This window comes from Homo sapiens, chromosome 7 (genome assembly GCF_000001405.40).
Source record: "Homo sapiens chromosome 7, GRCh38.p14 Primary Assembly".
Taxonomy (NCBI): domain Eukaryota; kingdom Metazoa; phylum Chordata; class Mammalia; order Primates; family Hominidae; genus Homo; species Homo sapiens.
The window spans coordinates 105670746-105697653 of NC_000007.14; the positions used below are offsets into that span (position 1 = coordinate 105670746).

The window sequence follows — 26908 nt, forward strand, 5'->3', positions numbered from 1 at the left end:
AAGGTCAAGAGATTGAGACCACCCTAGCCAACATGGTGAAACCCCATCTCTACTAAAAATACAAAAATTAGCCGGGTGTAGCCGGGCGCGGTGGCTCACGCCTGTAATCCCAGCACTTTGGGAGGCCGAGGCGGATGGATCACGAGGTCAGGAGATCGAGACCATCCTGGCTAACACGGTGAAACCCTGTCTCTACTAAAAATACAAAAAATTAGCCCGGCGAGGTGGCGGGCGCCTGTTAGTCCCAGCTACTCGGGAGGCTGAGGCAGGAGAATGGCGTGAACCCGGGAGGCAGAGCTTGCAGTGAGCCAAGATGGCGCCACTGCATTCCAGCCTGGGCGACAGCGAGACTACGTCTCAAAAAAAAAAAAAAAAAAAAAAAAAAAAATTAGCCGGGTGTGGTGGCGGGTGCCTGTAATCTCAGCTACTCAGGAGGCTGCGGCAGGAGAATCACTTGAACCCGGGAGGCGGAGGTTGCAGTGAGCCTGGATTACACCACTGCACTCCAGCCTGACAACAGAGTGAGACTCCGTCTCAAAAAAAAAAAAAAAATTTATTTAAAAAGTGATTCAGAATTATTTCCTTGAGGTATAATTCCCAAAGTGAAAGGCTGCAGCTTTATAGCTCTTGCTACACATTTCTTTCCAGACCGTGTAACAGAAAGACCAAACCAATCTACTGTGCTAATATTGAATATAAGCACCACTCACCTACTTTAGGAAAAACAGAAAATCACTATCAGAACACCCGTGCAGAATTAAGTATTCAATACATCAATAACAACCTCAGTGAATGATCTTCAGCCAGCAACCTCTGCTCTCACCCGTTCTGTCCTTTGATCAATAGTAATAATAGTTTTAAGATTTTTCAGGTGGGTACAGTGGCTCATGCCTGTAATTCCCGCACTTTGGGAGGCTGAGGCGGGTGGATTGCTGGAGCTCAGGAGTTCAAAACTAGCTGGGTAACATGGTGAAACCCTGCTTCTACAAAAAATTAAAAACAATCAGCCAGGTGTGTGCCTTTAGTCCCAGCTACTTAGGAGGCTGAGGTGGGAGGATTGCTTGAGCCTGGGAGGTCAAGGCTGCAGTGAGCTGAGATTGTTCCACTGCACTCCAGCCTGAATGACAGAGTGAGACCCTGTCTCAAAAAAAAAAAAAAAAAAAAAAAAAAGAATTTTTTTTTCTTATGTGCCAGGCACTCTTCTAAACACTTTGATTTACCTTATAGCATTTCATTCTTACAATACCTTAAGAGAGGCACGGCCGGGCGTGGTGGCTCACGCTTGTAATTCCAGCACTTTGGGAGGCCCAGGTGGGTGGAACACGAGGTCAGGAGTTCGAGACTAGCCTGACCAACATGGTAAAACCCGGTCTCTACTAAAAATACAGAAATTAGCTGGGTGTGATGGCAGGCGCTTGTAATCCCAGGTACTCGGGAGGCTGAGGCAGGAGAATCACTTGAACCCTGGAAGCGGAGGCTGCAGTGAGCCGAGATCATGCCACTGCACTCCAGTCTCGGCGACAGAGTGAGACTCCGTCCCCTGCCCCCCCCAAAAAAGAGAGGCACTACTAGTTTCTCTTTTCTACAGGTAAGTTTGATTAACAAAGCTGTAATCAATGGATATTTTGGACTATTCCTTGTCAACTAACATTATTCTGCATATACATATCAAATTCCCACATACTTGCCATTTTAAACTGTTAGGTAATATTCAATCATTAATGTGCTGTAGATTATTTAGCTATTCTCGTACTGTCGACCTACTATTTGTCTTTTAAAAAACTGATTTAAAAAGTGATTTAGAATTATTTCCTTGAGGTATAATTCCTGAGGCTCAGAGATACAATGAGTTGCTTAAGGTCACAGAGCTAGAAAACATCAGATCTGGGGATGTTTTCAGAGCCCCTGTCTTAACTCTGGGCTCTACCACCTTGGAATCCTGGAAGATTCTGCTACAGATAGGAGGAATCTGAAAGAGCCAGCGGGACCTCTCCTTTCCCACTGTCTGTGGGCATTTCAGCAGGGCACCTGACTCCCCTAGGGAGAGGAAGAAACACTTTTTAGGTGTTAGGCAGCTGGCAGGTACCAGTCAGCAGCTCATACCATTGCCTAAGACCTCAATCACAAAGAGTTGGGGGGCCCCAGTACCAAAGAAATGAAAAGCCAAATCCTTTTACTTTTGTGCATTTCCACCACAGGAAGTCCAGGCCAAGGCCTCAGCAGCTGACTGTTTCAAGACCACCTGCTTCCCCACAGCCTCCTTAAACATCCAGGTGCAACTCCAGGGGCAGTCCTGGAGATCAGCCAAGCAGGGAGCTTGCAGACACCAGCTGTCAGCATCCCAAAAATCTGATAGGCGCGGGGAACCCTGGTGTCTCCAGTTTGCTCCCCTCACTCTCTGAAGATAAAATCCATCAGGTTCTCAGGCAATCCCATTTCAGTAAAAATTCAGTGTTCCCTTCCCCATACGCTTATTCATGGAGATATTTTCATACTTGCAGCATCAGTGTCCTGTATTTAAAACCTTAGCACAGATGCCTCATGAATGGCTGAGCCGGCTGCAAATACTCAAGGTGGCTCCCTGCACCATTTTTAGAAAGAACTTGTTGAGAATTTTCCAATATGGCTTTTAAGGGACTAACCCCCTCCCAATAGACTTTGAGCACCACAGTCGCTTGTGGCCTGCCATGGTTGTGTAAGCACACTTGGGCTTAGGCCAGCACCTGGCTTACTCACTTGACAGCATGGAGTCTCCTTCAGCCCCCACTTTTGAGGGCAGGTGCTTGGCAAGTCATTAGCCGGTTTCTATCTTATCAGTGGGTTCAATCTGCTTTTGTAGCTGCAGTCAGGATGCTGCCTATAAACACCCTGATTTCCAAGGGGCCTTCTTCCAAAAGTAAACTGGAGTTGGAGAGAGAGGCAGGGCTGGCACCTTGGCACTGGGAGCCGTGCCAGGAGCCAGGCCAGCTGTACTTACAGCCGCTTGGTGAGGTAACGATTCCCCCCAGCTGTGGAAATGGAGACAGACTGCATTTGAGAAACTTGCCCAAAGTCATAAGACTATTAAGTGGAGGAGCTTGGGCTAGAACCTGGGCCTGTTGTCTCATTTGTCACCATCGTAGTTAGATACTAAACTTACTGCCATGGTGTAAGGGGGGATATTGAATCAGCCTTGCTCAGCAGAGGAGGAAATGAAGACACAGGAAAGTCAGGTGATAGGACAGGCTGCGAATGCAGGCAGAGCTGTGCCAAGCAGTTTCCATGCCAGGAGTGCTTGTGAGCTTTTCTGGAGTGCCCATTCCCTTCTCAGACTGCAGTACCTCTTTAAAAGATGGCAGGGCTGAGGAGCCGAGGAGGCGTTCCTTAAGCAAAGGTTATGCTAGGTCTTCTTTACCCCTCTTCACCTCCTACCCACTGCTGGGCAACATGACCTATCTTGGGCACTAAGTTCTTTTGACAAATATGAGTGTGGGCCTGTGGTCTACACTGTTCACACCAACACCAGCTCAGTTCCCAAATCCCTAGGCTCTGGGATGGTTTCTTCGTCATCTGGTCACCCCATGCACATTCATTCAGTTAGGAGGGAAAGCAGGCTTTCTTGAGTACCTACTATATATCAGGCACTGTGTAAGCTGCTTTTCACTCACCAGCTCATCTACCCAATAACCCTACCATGTGGTATGATACCGTTAGTTGCCTTGTTATAGATGGGGAAATTACTATTATTTTTTTTTCTTCTTAGATATCAGATGGGGGAAATTAAAGCTTAGCAAGATTGTGAAACAAGACCAAGGTCACGCAGACCTCAGCAGCTGGCAGGAAAGCCCAGGCTTGCCTGGCCCCAGAGCCAATGCCCTTTCTACCATGCCACCCTGCCTGGGATGTTCCTTTCCCTCCACGCTTTAGAAATGCAACTGGGATGATTCTTACAAGGGCATTTCCCATTCCAGAGCTGCTGTGAAGTCATGTAACTTAGGATCCTTTTTAACTTTTCCCCTGTGGTGGCATTCCCCCTTCCTCCTCCTCTTCTATTTGTCATTTATACTAAGGTGCAAATTTCTGGCATCACCACTATTGGGCAGGATCTGGGGAGTCCCAGGGGCTTTCCAGGGCCCTGAAATACTTCCATCAGCCCCCAGGGATGCCCTCACAAGACACCTAGACTAGCTAAAAGGAAAAACTACAGAAATAGAATCTGTGGGGAGACAAGCACATGTACACCTTGCCAGCGGTACTTTCAAGGGATTACATTTTTCTGGAGAGCAACCTGGTGATAATAACAGGAACTAAAAAGCATCCATAGCCTTTCATCTGGTAATCTGGTAATGTAAGTTTGGAAAATAGGCCTCCAGGAAATATCCCAAAGGGAAAAAAAAAGTTCAAAGATATTCTCAGCACTGTTTACTACAGTTAAAAAAAAAAATACTACAAGCAACCTGAATAATCCATAATAAAGCAATTGGTAGGAGACAGGTAAGAGAGTTATCTCAACCTAAGAAAATGTATGCAAAATAGTACACTCACATTCACAAGGAAATTCAAAATGGCACAAATAGTATGTAGAGACTAATCACTACTTAAAGAAAAATATTTGAGGCTGGGTGCGGTGGTTCACTCCTGTAATCCCAGCACTTTGGGAGGCCGAGGTGGGTGGATCACTTGAGGTCAGGAGTTTGAGACCAGCCTGGCCAACATGGTGAAAGCCCGTCTCTACTAAAAACACAGAAAAATTAGCCAGGCGTGGTGGTGCATGCCTGTAATCCCCGCTACTCGGGAGGTTGAGGTGGGAGGATTGCTTGAACCTGGGAGGCAGAGGTTGCAGTGACCTGAGATCACGCCACTGCACTCTAGCCTGGTGACAGAATGAGACCCCATCTCAAAAAAAAGAAAAAAAAAAGCACTTGATAAATACATGATGATGAGGAAAAAAGAGAATGATATAAGATGCATTGCTTAATAGGCTCTGTCTTTTTTAAAACTGTTTAAGTTCATCCAAGAAGATAAAAACAGACAACAACAAAACACTAACATATCCTTAAGCAGAAAAGGTGGAAGAGAGAAAGTAGGTGCCAATACAAATGCAGGAAGGAGACAAAAATATGGGTTAAAATGAAAGCTATTTCATTCATTCATTCACTCTTTTTTTTTTTTTTTTCTTAGCATTTCCTTGGCACCTACCATGTGCCAGACACTGGGCTATGAGCCCTGGGTTATTACAGTGATGATACAATAGGTTGCTGTCACTGCTAGACCTTTGTCATCAGAGGGCTTCCTGTGCTCAGGGGACAGCACTCTCCAGATCCTGGCTCGCTGCCACAGTTGTCACTCTGAGTGGAGGAGAACGGACGCGGCCCTCAGAAGGCAAGCTGCTGCCCGAAGGACCTGAGTCTGCCGGACTCCACCTGGAGCCAGAACCACGATCCTCTTCATAACATGAGGCCTTTTATGGCTCTATCTGCTCCCCACTGTCTGGGCCCAGTGGTAGCAGAGGGGTTGACAAGGACTCCACATGCATGGCACTGAACTTCTCCATCAGAGTAGCCCCCTCCAAAACCACAAACACACACCGCACAAGTCACATGTGTTTAAACACAGGAGTCACCACAGCTTTGGTGAAAACTGGGGGCTACCAGCTTGCAGATAAGCTGTTGAATTCTACCTTAGGATGACACAGCTGATATCGCCCCCAGAGCACTGATGGGACAGGTATGGCAGACAGCTGGACCTGGGCACGGGGGAGCCACAGACCCCAGGATCTTGGGGAGAAGATCCATGAGCTGGGATTCCCCATATTTAAAATACCTGATAGAATGGCTGGGCATAGTGGCTCACACCTGTAATCCCGGCACTTTGGGAGGCCGAGGTGGGTGGACCACTTGAGGTCAGGAGTTCAAGACCAGCCTGGCCCACATGGGAAAACTCCGTCTCTACTAAAAATACAAAAATTAGCCAGGTGTGGTGGCATGTGTCTGTAATCCCAGCTACTCGGGAGGCCGAGGCAGGAGAATCGCTTGAACCTTGGAGATGGAGGTAGCAATGAACCGAGATTGCGACACTGCACTCCAGCCTGAGAGACAGAGTGAGACTCTGTCTCAAAAAAACAAAACAAAACAAAAAACCCCCCAAAACAAACCTGCACATGTACCCCTTGAATCTAAAAGCTGAAATTTTAAAATAAATACATAAAAATACCTGAACAGCTGGACCGAATCTTCCCAACGCTGTCTTGAGGCAGCATCAGTGACCTTTGCCCTGGTGCCTTGAGCTAAGGCCTCATGGCTTGCCAGGCCCCGTGGAGGGAGGATCCTGGCTGCAGGAGGCAGAGCAGGTGCCAGGCTGCACTTCCACATCAGAGAACACACAGTGCAGCAGCCACTTCTTTACTTTTGGACAGCAGGGCCAGGGCCCCCAAATCTGTGATTTTTTAAAAGGTCCTGAGGTGATTTTCATGCTCCATGAGCTTCGGGAGTCACTGGAAATGCCGACCAAACATGCTGTCTTTGGAATCAGAAAGATCTGGGCTCAAATCCCAGCTCTGTCACTCATTAGCTCTGGGACTTGGGGAAATAACTTAACCCCCTGAGCCCCAGTCTCCTTACCTGTAAAATGGGGACAATAATACCCACATCATGGAGTTACAACAGGACAGGTGCTCGAGTACACTGAGTCCCTCATCTTAGCGCACATCACACGCTGTAATTACTGGTTTACTGGTCTAAGTGTCCTGTGCCTGGACACACCCAGAGGGCAGGTGTCCTGTTTACTCTTTTATCTCCAGCGTTTAGCACAGGGTTTTGCCCTCAAGAGCACTCACTCTATTCACTGTGGAATAAATGGGTGTTGGGAGGATTGATAACATGTAGAAGGTGGCTACCACAGTGCCAACTCATGGGAGACGCTTAACATTAAGTTCCCCTGATACATGATAATGTCCATTAAAAACACACACACAGGTAGTAGCTTTCCTCAGTAGGCAGTTCTCAGCCTTATCCCTGCCCCTGAATTAAATTAGTCCACTTACAAGAATCCTATGGGAGCACACTGTTTAAGGACCACAGGCTGATAAGAGAGGCCACCACTGCTTTATTTCTATCTGTACCAGTGTCTACTTTCAACAGCACAGGGCCATGGTCTCTTATAAGAGAAGGTGAAAAGTCTCCACTCACTGCTAAGCTCATGGTGTCGCTCAGAGCCACTCACCCCACAGACTGTCGTGGTCCCACAGCAGCCACTAATAACGGAACCATTTCTGTTCTCCTTGGAGTGGCAGTTGGCAGCGGCAAACAGGAAGTTGTCTTGAAGTAGGGTGTGGTTATGCCCTGTCAACATATGCGTACAGACACATACTTTTTTTTTTTTTTTTTCCTTTCTGGCCCCCTTTTCTCTCCCTTCTTTAGAAGCAAAAGGTCTGAGTTATTTTGGTGAAAACAAACTTTTTACATGATTTAAGATCAACCATCACTACCACACAAACAAAAACCCAGGACAGAAAGGGGCCTAAAACACAGCAAAGGGTCTATTTTCCTGCCACCAGTCACTCGCTTGTGGCATTTAGTTAGGAACTGACTGTGTGTGTGAGTGGGTGTGCTTTTTCCCCTTTATTTCTCTGGGCACACAGGAAACAGAGCCCTAGCTAGAAACCAGCCAGACACGCTGCCCAGCATCCTAGTGAGCCCGTCAGTCCACCTGTGGGCCAGTCGCCTGCGTTGATTCAGGGCCTGCAGTGTGCATGCACTGGACAAGGACCATCGTGGACAGGAAAGAAGGAAAAAACCAGGGTGCTAGTTTCAAACAATTTGTACAGTTTGAATAGAAAGGACCCTGAACATGTCTTAACACAAAGTACATATAAAAACAACAAAGAAACACAATGACTGAGTAGATAAGTGCACTGAGTAGATAATACACGGACATAAACATGGGGCGTTGGGGTTGACACGCCGGGAAGGTTCATTGCAGCTGGCTTCCCGGTGCTCTGAAAGGTGTGCTAGAAAATTTTCCACTCCACTCCTTCTCAGGCCGGAGGCTGGTGCCTCCAGAAGGGCTGTCCAAAATAGACTGGTCCCCAACCCAGCCTCCTACTCCTGACCTCTTTCTGAGGCAGCTACTCTCCCCGCTCCCCGCCTCAGCCCTGTCTCGGCTCCAGCTCCAGCCCACAGCCGGAGAGCACTGTCTATGCTAACACTCATTTTGCTAAATGCCTCGTGGGCTGCCAGCATGATCTGCCTGCCAGGATCTCTGTTCCGTGACCTGCGCCCAGCCCCACGCCGTCCTGTGTGGCCCTCGTGCCCTGCGCTCACACTTACACATCCCGGGGAGGCTGCCTTGCCGTTTGGATAAGGAGGCTGACACACGCTGGGCAACGCGACTCGTGGTAGTAGATGTTTCCTGGCTCCTGGATGAGGGCCCTGGCCAGTCAGAACGCACCACTTCCCCTTTAAGAGAGCACGCCCAGACGAGATTAGGGAAAGGCAGAAAGAAAAGCCCGGAACAGTCAGGGTTGTATCCTGAATTTGGCAGATGAACTTGGGTATTCCTGAACCACACACACAAGGTGTGGTCAGAGGCAGCAGGCTCCTCAGAGGAGTATCAGAGCCAGCGCTGTGTGTGCAGGGCTGGGCCTTTCCGCAGCCCTGGAGCTGCTGTCTGTCTGGCCTGGGTCCCCGGTCCCCAGGCAGCCTGAAGACACCTCAGGCCTTCCCACTCCCTCTTCGCTCAGGGTCTGACCATCTTGATAGGCAGAGTCCACTTCATTACCTAGCACTATGCCTTAGAGAGAGTAGAGAGGTCATTATAATGATTGGAAAATACTTTTGTGGGTTGTTGGAACTATTGATTTAAGCAGGGAGATTTCATTCATTCTGGATATTTAGAAAGTTTGGTCCCTGATCTTGGCCAAGGACAGTAGATTTGGAGGGGGGAGAATGCCTACCAAAACAATGGTTCACAAAGGCCACACGTTATATGAAATGTCCAGAATAGGTAAAACCATAGAGACAGAAAGCCGACTTGTGGTTGTCAGGGGCAGGCTGGGAAAAGAAGGCGGGGGGAGTGACTGCTTAATGGGCACAGGGTCTTCTTTAGGGGTGATGGTTGCACAACATTGTGAAGGTACTCAATACCACTGAATTGTACATTTTAAAATGGTTAATTTTCTGTGATGCAAATTTCACCTCAATTAAAAAAAAAACAGTGGCAAAGTACGCTTTGCGCATCTTTATCTTCTGCTAGGACCTCTCCTGTGTGGCATCCAACATTTCTTTGCAAAACCTGGTTATTACCTGATGAATATTAAATCAACCTTAGATAAGGGGTACATGCCTTTTAGTAAAAAAAAAAAAAAAAAAATTAAACCTTTAAGACACAAAAGTATTCCAAGACTCAGAAGTATGATTTTCCTGGAGAATTTTGGACTGTGGGGAGACAGCACTCCCTCACGTCATGATCACATACTTCCTCTCATCACACACAAGCTAGGCAGAGCCTACTAGGCATTAGAGAGATTAGAGAGGGCATTATAATGACTGCCTATGTAAGATGGTCTCCTGTGGGGACCATCCCTTCAGCCACTTGAAAACATAACCAAAGCCAGAGACAGTGAGTCCCCCGTGGGAGAATTATTCAGGGAGAACATGACTGGACTTCTGGGTTCTTGGCTTCCTTTTCCCCTCTTGTTGAGAGAGTTTCTTCCCAGAATTGAGGAGAATTCATCAGTTTCAGATTGAGAGGGAGTTGTGCTGGCTGGCAAAGCAGAACTAGTTTCCACAGTTCCATTTGTTTGGAATGTAGTAGGGGGGTGTTGAGGGGGTATAAACTGACCACCCATCTGACCAGCCCTCGTTTTCAGTCATTTGCAGCTTTGGCTGGAGATTGTCTGTTCCCAACAGTTAGGCTGTGGGCGTTGTTCCCTGATCCCAGGCTAGCAGGTCAAGGGCCCCTGGGCACATTCCCTTCACCCAGGGGACTGTGGAGTAGAGGCCTGCTGGATGTTGCAATGCTTAGAAGAAACACAGATGAAAGGGCAGGCCCGAGGCCTGGGAACCTGAGTCTTTCCAGAGAAAAACGTGAGTTGCTTTCCTAGTATCTCTGCAAAGAGTTTCAGGATGACCTGGAGGACAGAGATGGGAACAGCTACTCTTGGGCCAGCTCTCCCAGAGCAATCTGGACCTTCTAGAGCATTGGCCCCTGCCTCTTGCAGCCCTGCTCTCCCTCCCTATCTCAGGTGCCCGTGTAGGCTCTTGGTAGCCTTACACCTGAGGTAGCGTAAGTTCTCAGCAAACATGTGGCTTAGGATAATAAGATGCAATATTTACTCTAGCTTCTGAAGAGCAGCAAGTTTAGAACCGTAACTCTAAATACAAAAACAGGCAGGTTCAATCTAATTTAAAAATGGGCAAAGGGCTGGGCACGGTTGCTCACGCCTGTAATCCCAGCACTTTGGGAGGCTGAGGCGGGTGGATCACGAGGTCAGGAGTTCGAGACCAGCCTGGCCAATATGTTGAAACCCCATCTCTACTAAAAATACAAACATTAGCTGGGTGTGGTGGTGGGCACTAATGACTCCAGTCACCAGTCATTAGGGAAACGCAGATCGAAATCACAGTGAGGTATCATTTCACACCCACTGGGATAGCTGTTAACAAACAATGAAAATAACAAGTCTTGGTGAGGATGTGGGGAAGTTGGATCCCTCGTGCACTGTTGGTGGGAATGTAAAATGGTACAGCCACTATGAAGAAGAGTATGGCGGTTCCTCAAAGAATTAAAAATTGATTCAGCACATGATCACACGATCTAGCAATATCACTTCTGGATATATATGCAAAAGAACTGGTATCTCAAATGTGGGTATACCCACATTCATAGCAGTATTACTCACAATAGTCAAAAGGTGGAAGCAACCCAAGTGTCTATCAATGAATGAATAGAGAATCCTATAATGGAATGTTATTCAGCCATAAAAAGGAAATTCTGACACATGCTACAACCTGGACAAACTTTGGGGACACTATGCTAAGTGAAATAATCCAGTCACAAACAGACAAATAATGTATGATTCCACTTACATGAGGTGCTCGAGATAGTCAAATTCATAGACAGAATGGCGGTTGTCAGGGATTGCAAGGGAGGAGGAATGGGGAGTTATTGTTCAATGGGTATAGAGTTTCGGTTTTGCAAGATAAAGAGTTCAGGAGAGGGCTGGGCACAGTGGCTCACACCTGTAATCCCAGCATTTTGAGAGGCCGAGGCAGGAGGATCTTTTGAGTTCAGGAGATTGAGAGCAGCCTGAGTAATATGGCAAAACCCTTTCTCTACAAAAAATACAAAAATTAGCTGGGCGTGGTGGTGTGCACCTGTAGTCCCAGCTACTGGGGAGGCTGAGGTGGGAGGATGGCTTGAACCCAGGAGGCGGAGGTTGCAGTAAGCCGAGATCACTGTACTCCATCCAGCCTGGGTGACAGAGCTAGACCCCGTCTCAAAACAAAAAACAAAAAACAAAGAGTTCAGGAGAGGATGGTGGTGATGGTTGCATAACAATGTGAATACACTTAATTCCACAGAACTGTACGTTAAAAATTAAGATGGGTAAGTTTCACGTTAAGCATATTTCACCAAAATTAATTTTTTAATAAAAAAGTTAAATATAGAATTACCATATGGACCAAAATTCCACTCCTAGGTATATATCCAAAGGAATTGAAAACAGATACTCACACAAATCCATGTCCACAAATGTTCATAGCTGCTCTATTCATAAGAGCCAAAAAATTGGAAACAACCCAAACGCCCATCCATGGATGAGTGGATAAACAAACACTGTGCTACATACATACAATAAAAGAATACTCAGCCATAAGAAGGAATGAAGCATGATACATGCTACAATACAAATGAGTCTCAAAAACATGATGGTAAATGAAAGAAGCCAGACACAAAAGGTCATATATATATAGTATGATTCCATTTAAATGAAATGTCCAGAATAGGTAAATCCATAGATAAGAAAAGCAGATTGGTGATTAGCAGGGGCTGTATGTGGTGGGGGAGGGGGAATAACTGCTTAATGGGTATGAGGTTTTATTTTGGAGTGTGATGAAACATTTTGGAACTAGATAGAAGTGGTGGTTGCACAACATTGCCAATGTACTAAATGTCACTGAATTGTTCAGTTTAAAACAGTTAGCTTTATGTTTTGTGAATTTCATCCAAATTTTAAAAAAGCCTGCAGAAAGTAAGAGCAAGGATAATCTACAGCAGAACAATTAGTTTCAAGATAACTGAGTTACCTTTAAAACCCTTTCTGAAATCACTTAAAGGAGGTAATTTTTAAGTTAAAGTAATTAAGGCAGCCAGCAGGATACAGCAAACAGGCACTCTAAGACAGCAGTTCCCAAACGCTAATGCTACCAATTTGGGTCCACAAAGAAGTGTTAATTTGTCTTAAACAATGTGATACATAAACACACACATGCATACACATGCATATGTACATACAGATTTTTCTGAGTTTACATCCTCCCTACCTTTCTGCGTTAGGATCTCCTTTACGTATTGATACTGAAGATAGACTGGTTGTGGTGCTTTGTTACTCTTTAGGGGGTGTTGTTTTGGTTTTAGTGCCCATACTTCATAAAATAAAACCTGAATTCAGGGCCAGGCACAGTGGGTCATGCCTATAACCCCAGAACTTTGGGAGGCCAGGGTGGCAGATCACTTAAGGTCAGGAGTTCAAGACCCTCCTGGCCAACATGGTGAAACCTTGTCTCTACTAAAAATACAAAAATTAGCCGAGCGTGGTGGTGCACACTTGTAATCCCAGATACTCAGGAGGCTGAGGCAGAATCGCTTGAATCAGGAGGTGGAGGTTGTCGTGAGCTGAGATTGTACCACTGCACTCCAGCCTGGGTGACAGAGCGAGATTCCGTCTCAAAACAAACAAACAAAAACCCTCTGAATTCAAACAACTACCACCGCCACTACCAATGCCACCACACACAAACACACGCACATGCACACACACGAACACAGGCTCCACTAGCTATTTACAAATGGGACACTGAGGCACAGCTCTTCCTCTTGCCAACCTGATCGTTCATCCCTGATACAGCCGCCATTTCCATAAAGGAATCATCATTCTCCCATGGACTCAGATCTTAGACCTTGAAGTTGGGACTAACAGACTCTCAACAGGCAAGAAAAACCCCACAGGTAACCATTCTCTGCAGGCCCCCTTCTTCAGGAGTGCAGTTGCTCATCCACACTCCTGCCCAGGGGCTGCCAGGCATAGCTTCACTGCAGGCTCCATCTGGGGCGGTGCATCAGGTAAGCAGTGTGCCAGATAAGCGGTGAGCCAGGTAAGTGGTGTGACAGTTTAGTGGCACCTCCCGAGTTCAGTCCCGACTGTTGAAGAGTTCTCCTTTATGCCAAGCTCCCGTGTAATGACCACTCATGAATCCCATGTCTGCGTTGTGGGAGTCACTATGAACCAGTCTAATCCCCCTTCCATGGAACATCTTGCCAAATGTTTGTTCCTTGAAACTTCCTTCTCTCAGGCTAAACACCCTGAGATGACTTCTTAAACTATTCTTTACAAAGCATCATTTTCATTACTCCCTGATCTTGGTTCTCTTGGCTCCTCTTGTTCTTCACAGACCATGGAACTCAGAAGGGAGAGCATTACAGATGGGGTCTGACCAGCTCCTACAGATCTGTTCTGGACATTATTCTCCTATTAATGCAGCCAGAGATCCAATCTAGATTTTTTATTTGTGATAGCTGCCTCATCCCTAAGTTTTATTTCACACATTTTGCTGCCAAGCTGCAAATCCACAGGTATCCTTTAAAAATGTCATCTTGTTGGATTTAGTCTACTGCTCCAGTCTGTTGAGATCTTTTTGGACTCTGATTCATTAACATAATCTGCTCTCCCTCCCAAATCTACCACCTGAAAACTCGATCGGCCTGCCATCAATGCCAATCTTCTTCCAAGTGCTCATACACAACGTGGAAGAGGACAGGCCCAAGAGGGCAACTCGATACATCCCTCAGTGCAACAGTGGCCTTTGAAAAGCACTCTTGAGATATGGTTGTACCGAACCATGTGCCATTCAGGGCAGGTGTCTCACGTGGCCCACATTTCTTCATCTCCCTGGTAGGATCTTGTGGGTGACTTTGACAAATGGGACTAATGATAGGCCTCCTCTTACTGTTGGTTGTGAAGGTTAAGTGCAAAGTTCTTTAAGCAGGGTATTACACACAATGAGCAGTCCAACACTGCCTTTAGTACAGAGAAGAGATGATAATAATAATAATAATAATAATAATAATAATAATAATAATAAATGGTTTTCCAATTCCCAGACAAACTACCTTCCTTATTGGCAACCACATACAGACATTAGAAAGCTGTAATCTATAGAAGGAGCACTGACATCCAAGAGCTGGAGTCCAAATCCCGGCTCTCCTTCCAGAATGTCTATGCTCTGAGGTTAGCAGTACCTCCCCTCTCCAGCGCTATAGCGAAGAGTCAATGACATCAGGCATGTAAAAGAGGTTTCAAAGTTGAGTCAGACTATGCAAACATAAAAGAATAGTATGCTGATTACTGTTATAAATAAGTCAAGATACCATTTCCATTGGCAGAGACCTCCCTGTGAAGCCAAGGAGGAACCTATAGATGTACTCAGGCTGACAGGAGGAACAGGTCTTTCAGCACACAGCAGCTGGATTACTTTGATAATGAGATTCCTGATCTCCTCTCCTGGTAGCAATCATCTCCTCTCTCATCTCAGACCAGAGCCAAAGCTGGCTTATAAAGAAAAAGGAGTGGGTCTTCCTACCATATTTGCAGAGGGGCCCCTCAGCCTGTGGGAACACACTTTCTCTCCATGGTCCCCTTGTTGAGACCAGAACCTGAGTATCAGCAGCAGGGAACCGGCAGGTGATGAAGGGCCGTGAGAGTTACTTTTAGCTCCCCTACGGCTTGACCCCAGTCAATCCCTGAGCTTCCATCCTGGATGGTGGTTTCTAAGAACAACTAGGCTTTAGGCTCTGACATTCTCAGGGCAGGTTCTCAGAAACCCTGTTCTCACTCCAGCTGAGGATGTTGGTGTCTTCAGGGAATAAATGGTCTTCACTAAAAACCAATCTTGGAAACATTTTGCAAAGCATGGTCAGAGGTCACCTGTTGGCCTTTAGAATCTCAGGATCAAGGATATCCCACAGCAGGGGAAGAAGGAGAGGAAGTGGCATGGCCAAACACATGCCTCTGAGAAGAGAGCAGCATTAAGATGGGAGGCAATAACTAACATAAATGAATTTTCCTCTCCTCGTCCATCTAAGGTTAGTTTCCCAACTTCCAGGGGGAATGAACACTAAGGGCAGATTAAAAAAAAAAAATACACAGATGCTCTCTGACTTACAATGGGATTATATCTGGATAAACCCATCATAAATTGAAAATATCGTAAGTCAAAAATGCATTTAAGGGCCAGTCACAGTGGCTCATGCCTGTAATCCCAGCACTTTGGGAAGCTGAGGCGGGTGGATCACCTGAGGTCAGGAGTTCAAGACCAGCCTGGCCAACATGGTGAAACCCCATCTCTACTAAAAATACAAAAATCAGCAGAGTGTGGTGGTGGGCGCCTGTAATCCTAGCTACTTGGGAGGCTGAGGCAGGAGAATCCCTTGAACCCAGGAGATGGAGGTTGCAGTGAGCCAAGATTGTGCCATTGCACTCCAGCCTGGGTGATGAGAGTGAAAGTCCATCTCAAAACAAACAAACAAACAAACAAAACCCACCCATTTAATATAATAACCTACTGAACCTCATAGCCTTAGCCTACCCTATCTTAAATGTGCTCAGAACATAACCTACAGTCGGGCAGAATGCCCTAACACGAAGCCTATTTTATAATAAAGTGTTGAATATCTCATGTAATGTATTGCATATCATATTGAAAATGAAAAACAGAATGGTTACATGGGTACTTAAAGTACAGTTTCTATGGAATGCATGTCACTTCTGTACCATCTTGAAACCAAAAAATCATAAGTCGAACCATTGTAAGTCAGACACCGTCTGTATCTATATGTAATTGTTGGCAAGACACTGAGAGGTTTATGCCAATGAATCTATTAACAGATCAGGGAGTTGGCCCAGAAAGGAGGTGGGAGTGAAGGGGCCCAGAAGGGAAGGTAACAATTCCTGACATAGTTTCTGGAGCCTACTGGTCCACAAGCTTCCCTTACTCAACCTACCCCTAATAAGAGTCTCTCTCGAGACAGGTGAGCTGCCACAGTCACCTGAGAATCATCATAAGCCATATGAAAGCTAATTCAGACTTTCATAGCCACTGATGACTTTTAAACATATTCCTATCTTTCTCTCATTGCATTTCCTTTGACTATGCACCCACACAGAGATGGCGCCTGGTTCTATAAACTGATGCATGAGGGGAATAAACTCACAGATGAATCTGTACCCCATGGAGGTTCCTGCAATGTTCTGATGCTGAGGCAGGACCAGGCTTGGCAGATTGGTGTTATGGGTTAAATTTCTCCACTTCAGACTTCATATGTTGATGTCTTAATCCCTAGTACCCGAGAATATAAGCACATTTGGAGAGAAAGTCTTTGAAGAGGTGACTAAGTTAAAATGAGGCCATTAGGATGGGGCCCTAATCCAATAGGATAGGTGTCCTTAAGAAAAGGAAGGGACGACAATGGCACAAGTCCAGAGGGTGGATCACATGAAGAGGCGGCAAGAGGGCAGCCATCTGCAAGCCAAGAAGGGGCCTCAGGAGAAACCAAACTTGCTGGCACCTTAATCTTGGACCTCCAGCTTCCAGAATCATGAGAAAATAAACTTTGGTTGTTGAACCCACCCAGGCTGTTTCATTTTGTTATGACAGCCCTATCATACCAAGACCAATACCTAAAAACCATGCAAGTTCACTAGATCAGGGAGAAAAAGTATAGGATGGAGGCAGAGGCCTAGGTGCAGCTCGGATGCATCCTCCTCCTTGGGCTGTGTTTCAGAGCAGTGTGACAGAGCAGGAATGTGGCCTGGCTTCAGCTACCCGCAGAAGAGCATTCTTTCATGCATTCCCACTGACCATGAGACCCACACCACTACCTCACTGACACCATACCCACTCACCCCAAGGCTTTAGTCATACAAAGAAAAGAGCCATTCTATATTGTTCTTCGGTGCTCTCATAATGTTTAACCATGCTTTTTACTTAAAGAATTCCAGGAACTGGACTGAAGAGATCCAAAATATGGAACCAAGGTTGCGGAGTGTCCCACCTCAGGAAGGAATGCTGAACAACTGATTTATAGCCTTGTTGTTGCCGGCTAGACCACCAGGTGGCCCATGACTCAAGATAATCATCACAACCAGATACATTGACTTGCATACCCTAACCCTCACATGCGTTGCCCAGCCCAGCCTGCATACCCTACCCTGATATCAATTCCTGTACTTCGCCTAATAAAAAAAATCCCAACTGGGGACGGACACGGTGGTTCATGCCTGTAATCCCAGCACTTTGGGAGGCTGAGGCGGGTGGATGGCTTGACCTCAGGAGTTTGAGACCAGCCTGGGCAACATGGAGGAAACCCCATCTCTACTAAAAATACATAACTTAGCTGGGCATGGTGGCACATGCCTGTAGCCCCAGCTACTTGGGAGGGTGAGGTGGGAGGATCACCTGGGTCCAGGAGGTAGAGGCTGCAGTGAGCCGTGATCGTGCCACTGCACTCTAGCCTGGGCAACACAGAGCAAGACCCTGTGTCAATTAAAAAAAAAAAAAAATCCCAATCGGCTGTTTTCAGAGGGTCAGTCAGGGAATTCTCTCTCTCTCTACCTTATGCCCTGGCGTAAGCGCCAATGAAGCCTTGTCTGGGAAGACTCTTTTCGCCTCATTTCTATTGCACCAAAAGCCCAAGAACCCATGGTCAGTAACAGCAAGGTCAAGGTGGGACAAATCTCCTAAACCCTGATAACTGGCAGTCTGCCTGCCCTGAAGTCCTGAAGCTGAAGTAGTCTACAAGTACACGGAGCAGGTGTGAGTAGCTGGTCTGAAAATGTATGACTCCAGGTCATAGTCTGGGAGTGATCAACTCCTTTTATCAGCTTACTTTCTTGTTTCACCTCTTACCCAAAAAGTAATCTGATTACTGGTTCTAATTAATGTATATGTCATGGCTGTTGTTCCAGAAAAGACAAGACCTTGGGGGTGAATGGACTATGGCAAAGTGAGGTCGCTGTTAGCAGACTCCCAAAGGTTTGACGAAATTACACAGACCATCTGGCTCAGTGCTGCCTTTGGCTGGGAATTCACTGGTCTCTAGGTTCTGCCTGGGTGCCTTGGTCTTCCCGGAGTGTAGGGTGGACAGAACCACTCCCCTGGGGCCAAGAGAGAAGGAGTGGGCTCACAAATGCTCACTGCTGCTAAGGTGCCCAGCTGCCCCGGATCAATTAAGTTTAAACAGCAGCTATGTCACTGGGGCTGGGGTGGAGGGAAGAATCAAAGTGAGGAAGGAGGGTGTTTCTAAGATATTGGCAGGCCAATGTCTGGAGGGCCTGGGAGGGGCAACGTGCTCTAGGAGACAGAGCTGAAAGGCCTTTACTTTCCCAAGGATGGCAGGGTGGGAGGGTTTAGCTCATTCAAATGCAAAAGCCTTTCAGTATTTACTGCCACTCCTCCCAGCTCCAACATAAAGGCCTATAGGTTCTCTTCACATCTTTCCATTCACTTGGGCTGTGGGGGTGATTGACACAGCTGGGGGCAGCCCCCATAATCATTCCTAGCTGAGATGCATACAAACCAACACACACCTCAAGCTTGACACCTTACGAAGGTGGGCCGAAAGTCCTCCCGGTCCCAACCAGACATACGGAGGAGGCACGGGGAAGTGGAACAGAGGCCCCACACACAGGGGCAGATTTGAATCAAATTAGAACAAAGAGTCCCTTAGCATCGTGTCATAGCCAGTTAGCCCAGAGCAAATGGGGGCATGAGGAGGCGAAGGTCCGATGGATCATGTCCGAGCCCGAGTTTTAGCTTCTCAGCTCCCCTGTATGAGCCAGGCCCCAAAGCCAGGCTTTTCCTACTAGGACCAAAGGGCTGGACTTGGCCCCCACCAGCTCAGTGGGGCCAGTGTGAGAAAGCACAGGACAGACTCTAAACGTCAAAGGCCTAAAGCAAGGAAGCCTCATCATTATTCTCTGCAAGGTTAAAGGAGACAGGGCACTTCTTTTTTTATTTTTGAGACGGAGTTTCGCTCTTGTTGCCCAGGCTGGAGTGCAATGGCGCGCTCTCGGCTCACAGCAACCTCCGCCTCCTGGGTTCAAACAATTCTCCTGCCTCAGCCTCCCGAGTAGCTGGGATTACAGGCATGTGCCACCATGCCCAGCTAATTTTTGTATTTTTCGTAGAGACGGGGTTTCTCCATGTTGGTCAGGCTGGTCTCGAACTCCCGACCTCAGGTGATCCGCCCGCCTCAGCCTCCCAAAGTGCTGGGATTACAGGCATGAGCCACCGCGCCCAGCAAAAAAAAGCATTCATATGAATGAGAGAAACATGGAGGAGAAAAGAAAGCCTCTCTTGGCAGCACTCAGCAGTTAGAACTATGTCAAGCCTCATCCTAATGGTCACATTTACCACCTTGGAAATTTCCGTTTTCACTGTCCGTTCTCATTCATGTGATGCTGGGGGTGGGGTTGGACCCATCTGTGTGGGACTCAAGGTCTTGGATCTAAGCAGACCCGCTCCTCAGAAGGCCTTCCGTGAGGCCTAAATGATGTTTGTCGTCTTCTCCTTCTTTTGCGATTTGTTTAGTTTAAAATATTTAACCCGAGGCACAATGAAGTGTCTCATTTACAAGGTTCTCCCGGACCATTAGACTGGGACTCCACATTCATTATGCTGATGAACGCGCTACTTACTCATGCAAATTCCAAGAGCGGCAGACTCAGAGATGGGAGGTGCTCAAGGTACGATATCAAGGGCTGATTTAATTACACAGCCATTCAGTGGGACAAGCACGGCAATTTTTAGCCAACTGTTCTAGTAAATATTACGGGAAACCCTTTTATAGAGTGCTAATTCCGGCTTAGTGTTTTCGCTAAGCTTTAGTTCTTACTCAAACATGCACACGGGCCCCCAAAGATGCTACCACCAGGCCAGAAAATCACACAGATAAAGCATGAGCCCATATGCCATCTTGCAGTCAATCATCCTTTTAAAAATGTTATAAATGTCTGCATATCACTGTCATTTAGGTGGGGACAAACTAAGGTCCAGTAACTTCCCTGTGTCTGTTCTTCCTCCGTCCCCCTCCCCCGTGACTCTGAGTCCTGCAGACCAGCCCTTGGGCATGTTTTGGGTCACCAAATGCCACTGCTCCCAGGAGTTTGACAAAACAACCGCTGTAAACTCATTTCAGACGTTTGAAACAATACCCAATCACTGCATCCACCCTCGAGGAGCGCCCCAGAGGAAATGGCATCATTACTTTCATTTTACTCCGTTTGTGAACGACTAAAGGAAAACAACACGTCCTAGGACTCTCGGGAACGTTATTAAGTGACCCCTAAGAAATTAATCATCAAGAGCTAAAATAACCCTCTGCTGCACATACACCGCCGTTTCTCTAAGTGGAGAAACAAATTTCACTTTCCACAGTTGGAACAGAAACTCTTATGCATCCCCGTTTCTTCAAAAAAAAGTCTATAAATAACCTAGGATCAGCAAAATTATGCAAAACATCCTGCTAGAAGAAGAAATGTAAACTAAAACCACTTACAGAGAGACTCAGGCTGCCAACTTAATCTGATGCTACGACGACTGTAAACATGTTGTACTTTTGGAACCTGAAGCGATCCACATTAGCACGGATGTCAGTAAAAAAAAAAAAAAGAAAAAAAAAAAGAGAGAGAGAGAGAAAGAAAAAGGAGGGAAAAAAATCGCAACGACTAAACAACAACAAAAGCCCAGCCCCAAACAGAGCAACGTGATACGGTATTCTGCACGGTGCACAGCCCGACGGCTGACCAGCTGCAGTCAATACCAGCTATCCGCGCTTGCACACGCCAACTGTTTTGACTACACGCACTTGTTAAACACGGAGTTTCAGGTCCTACCAGTTGGACACCAGAAGTTCATAGAACTGACCCAGTGCCAAGAACAACAAGCACAGAAAGCGAACCGGCTGCCTCGTGCGGGTGTTTTTGTTAACTGTTTATGCAAGCCCCAAAGCAATTGGGTAACAATTACGAATAAAAAAGAACTTAAATTACAAAAGCAAAAGATTACCACCTTGAAGGAAATGTAGATATTGGCAGCTGAAGGACAGACGTCATGCTACTTTATTGGTGGGGTGGGTGGGTAGTTTTCAGAGAGAACTGGTTGGGGGAGGGGGAGGTGTCACATGACACACTGCGGTTATTAGCAGAAGGAACTGGGTGCTTCCTCGAAGCATCTTTTAGAGATTGACTTAGATTTTGCAAATGTGGAGGCTTTGCTGCACATGTGGGGGTGATGGCAGGAGCACTAGAATTTGTCAGTTGGTAAATCCCATAGGAGAAGAAAGGGACATGCTGGATGAATTTCTTTCTTTCCTTCCTTCCTTCCTTCCTTCCTTCCTTCCTTCCTTCCTTCCTTCCTTCCTTCCTCCCTCCCTCCCTCCCTCCCTTCCTTCCTTCTTTTTTTGAGATGGAGTCTGGCTCTGTCACCCAGGCTGGAGTGCAATGGCGCTATCTTGGCTCACTGCAACCTCTGCCTCCTGGGTTCAAGCAATTCTCCTGCCACAGCCTCCTAAGTAGCTGGGATTACAGGCATGCACCACTACGCCTGGCTAGTTTTTGTATTTTTGGTAGAGATGGAGTTTTGCCATGTTGGCCAGGCTGGTCTCGAACTCCTGACCTCAAGCGATCAACCCGTCTCAGCCTCCCAGAGTGCTGGGATTACAGGTATGAGCCACCGCACCCAGCTCTTTCTTTTTTAGAGACCTTTTGCTCTGCCACCCAGGCTGAAGTGCAGTGGTGCCATCAGAGCTCACTGCATCCTTGAATTCCTGGGCTCAAGCGATCCTCCCGATTCAGCCTCCTAAGGAGCCGCACCACTGCCCTTGGCTAATTTTTAAATCTTTTGTAGACACGGAGTCTTGCCACCAGGCTGGTCTCAAACTCCTGGCCTCAAGCGATCCTCCTGCTTTGGCCTTCCAAAGCACTGGGATTACAAGCATGAGCCGTCATGCCCAGCAGAAACACTTCTTAAATTGCTTATTTTAACAGGCTTTTCCATTTTTCCCAGAGTGCATCAAGCAGTATCTCACTGTAGGACCAAGAGAATTAACCAAATAAAATTTTAGTTACCTGAGGAGTTCAGAAAACAATTCCAAGAGAACCTGGGTGTGGACGTAAGAGTGAGAAATTTTTTTTGTTTTTGTTTTAAATAGAGACAAGGTTTCTCTCTTGCCCAGGCTGGAGTGCAGTGGTGCCATCATAGCTCACTGCAGCCTTGAACTCCTGGGCTCAAGGAATCCTTCTGCCTCAGCCTCCCAAGTAGCTGGGACTATAGGTGTCTGCCACCATGCCTGGCTAATTTTTAAAGTTTTTGTAGAGACAGAATCTCACTATGTTGCCCAAGCTAGTCCTGAACTCCTGGCCTCAGGCAGTCCTCCCGCTTGGGCCTCCAAAGTGCTGGGGTTACAGGCTTGAGCTACTGTGTCTGACCGAGTGAGAAATTTTAAATTGCTGGGTGGACTTAAATCTAATGCCCCATCCATCCATCCATCCATCCATCCATCCATCCATCCATCCATCCATCTAATTTGAAGAATAAAATGTCACCCCCTTCCCACTCCACAGGTTTTGGGGAAAGTAATGAGTAAGTAGAAACAGGCTGTTTGGAAAAGCCACTGTGACTGTGGGCCAGCTTCACCTTTGTTTTGGAGAGCAAAGGTTGCTCTTCTGGTTACGGGGCCACCAGCGCCATGGTGGTGAACAGGAACCCACATAGTGGCTTTCTCTTTCCCCTCAAAGTAACCCACATTTTATTACCAACTATATATAGAAATTGTTTCACTGGGATCTGAAATGGAGCCACCCTGGAGTGAAATGCAGCAGTTGCCTGATACATCACAGGAGAAGAGCAAAGGCAACTTAGCACATCCAAGACCAAGGAAGGAGCAGGGGAGGAAGAAGTCGGGAGCAAGAAGTCTGGGGTGGGGAAAGGAGGAGGGTGGAAGGGATGCAGCAAGAGAGAAGTTTCAGGTCCTGAGGGAGAAGTGAGCCTTTTTTTTTTTTTTTAAGGCAGAGTCTCGCTCTGTTGCCTAGGCTGGAGTGCAGTGGTGCCATCTTGGCTCACTGCAACCTCCGCCTCCCGGGTTCAAGCAATTCTCCTGCCTCAGCCTCCCCAGTATCTGGGTCTACAGGCACATGCCACTGCACCTGGCTAATTTTTATATTTTTAGTAGAGATGGTTTCACCATGTTGGCCAGGCTGGTCTCGATCTCCTGATCTCAGGCAATCCACCTGCCTTGGCCTCCCAAAGTGCTGGGAGTACAGGTGTGAGCCACTGCACCTGGCTGAGAAGTGAGTCTTCAATCAGCCCTGTCCTTGGGGTCAGCAACTGTTAAAGTAGCCCCAGGATTTCTGTGGGTTAAAACCCCACAGTTTATGTCTCTTTCATGCACATTACATTATTTGATCCTGTGAGGTGGGAAGGGCGGCTATTATTACCCCCATTATGAAGGAGGGAAACAGGGTTCAGAGAAACCTGTGACTTTCCCAAGTTACACACCCAGGAAAGCTTTCTGATGTCCAATCCTGGGTCTCAGCCTCATGGCCGATAATGTACGCTGGTGTGCAGCTTCATTATTCACAAAGCAGCTTAAAAGGGGCAGACTTTATTATTCCCATTTTCACAGACAAGTAAACTGGGATTTGGAGAGGCTATGTGATTTGGCCAGGGCCACACTGCAAACCACAAACAGCCCTAGGTCTTCCAACTCCTGGCCCGGCCCTCCTTGCTTCCCTCTATGGCGCTTCCAGAGAAAACAATGATAAAACTAAAAAGGCCAATGGAGTTGTTTGACTCTAAAAGCACAACCTCAGCCAGGCACGGTGGCTCACACCTGTAATCCCAGCACTTTGGAAGGCTGAGGCGGTGGATTGCCTGAGGTCAGGAGTTCGAAACCAGCCCAGCCAACATGCTGAAACCTGTCTCTCCAAAAAATACAAAAATTAGTTGGGCGTGGTGGCCGGTGCCTGTAGTCCCAGCTACTCAGGAGGCTGAGGCAGGAGAATTGCTTGAATCTGGGAGGCGGAGGTTGCAGTGAGCCGAGATCACACCATTGCATCTCTACTAAAAATACAAAAATTAGCCGGGCGTGGTGGCCGGTGCCTGTAGTCCCAGCTACTCGGGAGGCTGAGGCAGGAGAATTGCTTGAATCCAGGAGGCAGAGGTTGCAGTGAGCCGAGATCACACCACTGCGCTCCAGCCTGGGTGACAGAGCAAGACTCCGTCTCAAAATAAATAAACATTAAATAAAATAAAAGCACAACATCGCCCTCAATTTTCTCAACATTCCCTGTCTTCATGGCTTTTCTAGTGTTTCATAGTGAATGTGCCTAACACAGAAGGGTTCCTTTCCACAGTGTGGGGGGAGCTTCGGACATCTGCACTCCAGAGCTACTATTTCAATGGAAAACAATCGTCTTGATCCAGTTTGCACCCCATCCTTTGATTTGATCAGTTCACCTAAATGCCAACCCCTGGTTCCTTACCAAATACTAGTCTAAGTTGCAGCGAAGTGGAATGTCCCAGCAGGCCTGACAGCTGTACATTATGAAGCTTGTATATCCACGGTGCACCACTGCACATGTAGAGGGGATCTAGCTTAGCACATGGTTTGGGGGATCGCTTCTCTAAAAGGTGTTTCAAAGTTAGGCCTTTGCTGAGTTCTTTGCAACAGAGGTCACTGAAAATATTGGACCAAATGTAGGTTTCCACTGTCATGTTCCTTTGCCCATGCCAAATGGACACACGCACAGCTTAATCTGGCCTGATACTACTTTTATGTGATACAGGCTGAGCAGGTTCACTGCAGGCGTTGGGCATTTGCTCTGAGGGACAGGGTGGTGGGTTACTGCAGATGGCCAGGAGGTTTGCAGGTAGGGATGAATAGAGGTGTTTGTCAGGAAGTGAAGGCTTGGGGGGCCAAGATCAAAGATATTGAATGTAGAATGCAGAGGGGAGCCTGTCAGGAGCTGATGGTTAGGAAGTTACAGAACGTTCTGCCACGCCCTTATAAATCTGCCTGTCACACTTCTTTCTCCCTGAAAGTACAACACAAGAAAACATACACCCGAAGGTCAGGGAAGTTGGGTGTCAAGGTGGACTTCACGTTGACTGTTATGAAGGTCATGAAGACTAATGAAATCTATGTGCTCCTGTTGACTGGAAATGCTCTGCAGCTTGGCGGGAGGTATATGTAGTGCTTCCCACTGCTAGTGAATACTCACTCTCAAGGGGGTTTCTTCAGGTGGTTTTGGTAACCAGAGGACATTTGCATCCATGCTGCCTGAAAGAATATGGGTGCTAGGTGAATCAGAACAGTCTTGGCACGGAAACTCGTTTGCTTGCAAGACATAAAGTGAGGAGAATATTTCCACGTAACATGTGACTTCTTTGATCATAGAGCCCCACCCATCCACCCCCACTTTTTTTAAGCCAAAAAAGAAGGACCCATGATTTGACAAGCATTGGCATAATAAGGAAAGATAGGGTAGGCTATTTAAAATCAGAACTTCTGAAAGTCCATGAGGCCTAGCCACTGAACTTGTAATATCACATTAAAATGCGCTAATGGAGAGATGTGGAATATTAGCAGGAATCTGTTGTAATTAGTACTGGCATGCTTAACCAAAGCAGTTCCACCACAAACCAGACAAACGCTGTTTTGCTAATGCAGACAGAGAAGGGAGTTTGGAAAATGCTGGAGAGCTCAGTACATCCACCCCACGGAGGATGAAGCTGGGTAATGGGGGACCTGCCCCGAAAATCACGTAGGTTCTTTTCTATTTTCCTAAGTGTCGGCCAGCTTGAGAAATAAAAGGACAGAGTACAAAAGAGAGAAATTTTAAAGCTGGGCGTCCGGGGGAGACATCACACGTTGGTAGGATCCGTGATGCCCCACACGCCACAAAAACCAGCAAGTTTTTATTAGGGATTTTCAAAAGGGGAGGGACTGTGCGAATAGGTGTGGGTGACAGACATCAAGTACTTAACAGGGTAATAGAATATCACAAGACAAGTGGAGGCAGGGCGAGATCACAGGACCACAGGACCGAGGCAAAATTAAAATTGCTAATGAAGTTTCGGGCACTATTGTCATTGATAACATCTTATCAGGAGACAGGGTTTTGAGATCAACCGGTCTGACCAAAATTTATTAGGTGGGAATTTCCTCTTCCTAATAAGCCTGGGAGCGCTATGGGAGACTGGAGTCTATCTCACCGCTGCAATCTCGACCATAAGAGACAGGTACGCCCCAGAGGGGCCAGTTCAGAGACCTACCCCCCTAGGTGCACGTTCTCTTTCTCAGGAACGTTCCATGCTGAGAAAAAGAATTCAGCGATATTTCTCCCATTTGCTTTTGAAAGAAGATAAATATGGCTCTGTTCCGCCCGGCTCACCTGCGGTCAGAGTTTAAGGTTATCTCTCTTACTCTCTGAACAATTGCTGTTATCCTGTTCTTTTTTCAAGGTGCCCACATTTCATATTGCTCAAACACACATGCTATACAATTTGTGCAGTTAATGCAATTATTACAGGGTCCTGAGGCGACATACATCCTTCTCGGCTGACAGGATTAAGAGATTAAAGCAAAGACA

General features: G+C 46.9%; 1 protein-coding gene across 4 annotated transcripts in view, besides 13 other annotated features; it reads right to left on the bottom strand.

Moving 5' to 3' along the window:
* The window catches only part of ATXN7L1 (ataxin 7 like 1), a 271828-nt gene that overhangs the window by 65974 nt on the left and 178946 nt on the right, over positions 1-26908 (bottom strand). The window contains exons 1-2 of one of the 4 annotated variants that reach the window (NM_001318229.2): positions 8307-8410; positions 7201-7319 (exon numbers count right to left, since the gene is read on the bottom strand). The exons of 2 other annotated variants lie outside the window; for them this stretch is intronic. The gene's annotated coding sequence lies outside the window, so the exon portion shown is untranslated. Of the gene's footprint in view, positions 1-7200; positions 7320-8306; positions 8411-26908 lie in introns of those variants that run through there. One more of the 4 variants, NM_138495.2, reaches the window with a different exon arrangement.
* Positions 5164-5664: an enhancer, noted in NCBI's record as "H3K27ac hESC enhancer chr7:105316356-105316856 (GRCh37/hg19 assembly coordinates)". NCBI's record gives its function as "activates a minimal SCP1, AML or CMV promoter by ChIP-STARR-seq in naive H9 embryonic stem cells {active_cell/tissue: H9 hESC(naive)}" and the evidence as "EXISTENCE:reporter gene assay evidence [ECO:0000049][PMID:30033119]".
* Positions 5539-5588: an enhancer, noted in NCBI's record as "active region_26468". NCBI's record gives its function as "activates an Ori minimal core promoter by ATAC-STARR-seq in GM12878 lymphoblastoid cells {active_cell/tissue: GM12878}" and the evidence as "EXISTENCE:reporter gene assay evidence [ECO:0000049][PMID:35858748]".
* Positions 8187-9126: an enhancer, noted in NCBI's record as "H3K27ac-H3K4me1 hESC enhancer chr7:105319379-105320318 (GRCh37/hg19 assembly coordinates)". NCBI's record gives its function as "activates a minimal SCP1, AML or CMV promoter by ChIP-STARR-seq in primed H9 embryonic stem cells {active_cell/tissue: H9 hESC(primed)}" and the evidence as "EXISTENCE:reporter gene assay evidence [ECO:0000049][PMID:30033119]".
* Positions 8260-8399: an enhancer, noted in NCBI's record as "active region_26469". NCBI's record gives its function as "activates an Ori minimal core promoter by ATAC-STARR-seq in GM12878 lymphoblastoid cells {active_cell/tissue: GM12878}" and the evidence as "EXISTENCE:reporter gene assay evidence [ECO:0000049][PMID:35858748]".
* Positions 9931-10430: an enhancer, noted in NCBI's record as "H3K27ac hESC enhancer chr7:105321123-105321622 (GRCh37/hg19 assembly coordinates)". NCBI's record gives its function as "activates a minimal SCP1, AML or CMV promoter by ChIP-STARR-seq in naive H9 embryonic stem cells {active_cell/tissue: H9 hESC(naive)}" and the evidence as "EXISTENCE:reporter gene assay evidence [ECO:0000049][PMID:30033119]".
* Positions 17829-18504: an enhancer, noted in NCBI's record as "OCT4-NANOG-H3K27ac-H3K4me1 hESC enhancer chr7:105329021-105329696 (GRCh37/hg19 assembly coordinates)". NCBI's record gives its function as "activates a minimal SCP1, AML or CMV promoter by ChIP-STARR-seq in primed H9 embryonic stem cells {active_cell/tissue: H9 hESC(primed)}" and the evidence as "EXISTENCE:reporter gene assay evidence [ECO:0000049][PMID:30033119]".
* Positions 18505-19180: an enhancer, noted in NCBI's record as "OCT4-NANOG-H3K27ac-H3K4me1 hESC enhancer chr7:105329697-105330372 (GRCh37/hg19 assembly coordinates)". NCBI's record gives its function as "activates a minimal SCP1, AML or CMV promoter by ChIP-STARR-seq in naive H9 embryonic stem cells {active_cell/tissue: H9 hESC(naive)}" and the evidence as "EXISTENCE:reporter gene assay evidence [ECO:0000049][PMID:30033119]".
* Positions 19181-19856: an enhancer, noted in NCBI's record as "NANOG-H3K27ac-H3K4me1 hESC enhancer chr7:105330373-105331048 (GRCh37/hg19 assembly coordinates)". NCBI's record gives its function as "activates a minimal SCP1, AML or CMV promoter by ChIP-STARR-seq in naive H9 embryonic stem cells {active_cell/tissue: H9 hESC(naive)}" and the evidence as "EXISTENCE:reporter gene assay evidence [ECO:0000049][PMID:30033119]".
* Positions 19857-20532: an enhancer, noted in NCBI's record as "NANOG-H3K27ac hESC enhancer chr7:105331049-105331724 (GRCh37/hg19 assembly coordinates)". NCBI's record gives its function as "activates a minimal SCP1, AML or CMV promoter by ChIP-STARR-seq in naive H9 embryonic stem cells {active_cell/tissue: H9 hESC(naive)}" and the evidence as "EXISTENCE:reporter gene assay evidence [ECO:0000049][PMID:30033119]".
* Positions 20533-21208: an enhancer, noted in NCBI's record as "H3K27ac hESC enhancer chr7:105331725-105332400 (GRCh37/hg19 assembly coordinates)". NCBI's record gives its function as "activates a minimal SCP1, AML or CMV promoter by ChIP-STARR-seq in naive H9 embryonic stem cells {active_cell/tissue: H9 hESC(naive)}" and the evidence as "EXISTENCE:reporter gene assay evidence [ECO:0000049][PMID:30033119]".
* Positions 24563-25326: an enhancer, noted in NCBI's record as "H3K27ac-H3K4me1 hESC enhancer chr7:105335755-105336518 (GRCh37/hg19 assembly coordinates)". NCBI's record gives its function as "activates a minimal SCP1, AML or CMV promoter by ChIP-STARR-seq in naive and primed H9 embryonic stem cells {active_cell/tissue: H9 hESC(naive and primed)}" and the evidence as "EXISTENCE:reporter gene assay evidence [ECO:0000049][PMID:30033119]".
* Positions 26091-26852: an enhancer, noted in NCBI's record as "OCT4-NANOG-H3K27ac hESC enhancer chr7:105337283-105338044 (GRCh37/hg19 assembly coordinates)". NCBI's record gives its function as "activates a minimal SCP1, AML or CMV promoter by ChIP-STARR-seq in naive and primed H9 embryonic stem cells {active_cell/tissue: H9 hESC(naive and primed)}" and the evidence as "EXISTENCE:reporter gene assay evidence [ECO:0000049][PMID:30033119]".
* Positions 26177-26471: a silencer, noted in NCBI's record as "tiled region #8747; HepG2 Repressive non-DNase unmatched - State 23:Low, and K562 Repressive non-DNase unmatched - State 21:Repr". NCBI's record gives its function as "represses a minimal TATA promoter and a strong SV40 promoter by Sharpr-MPRA in HepG2 and K562 cells {active_cell/tissue: HepG2 | K562}" and the evidence as "EXISTENCE:reporter gene assay evidence [ECO:0000049][PMID:27701403]".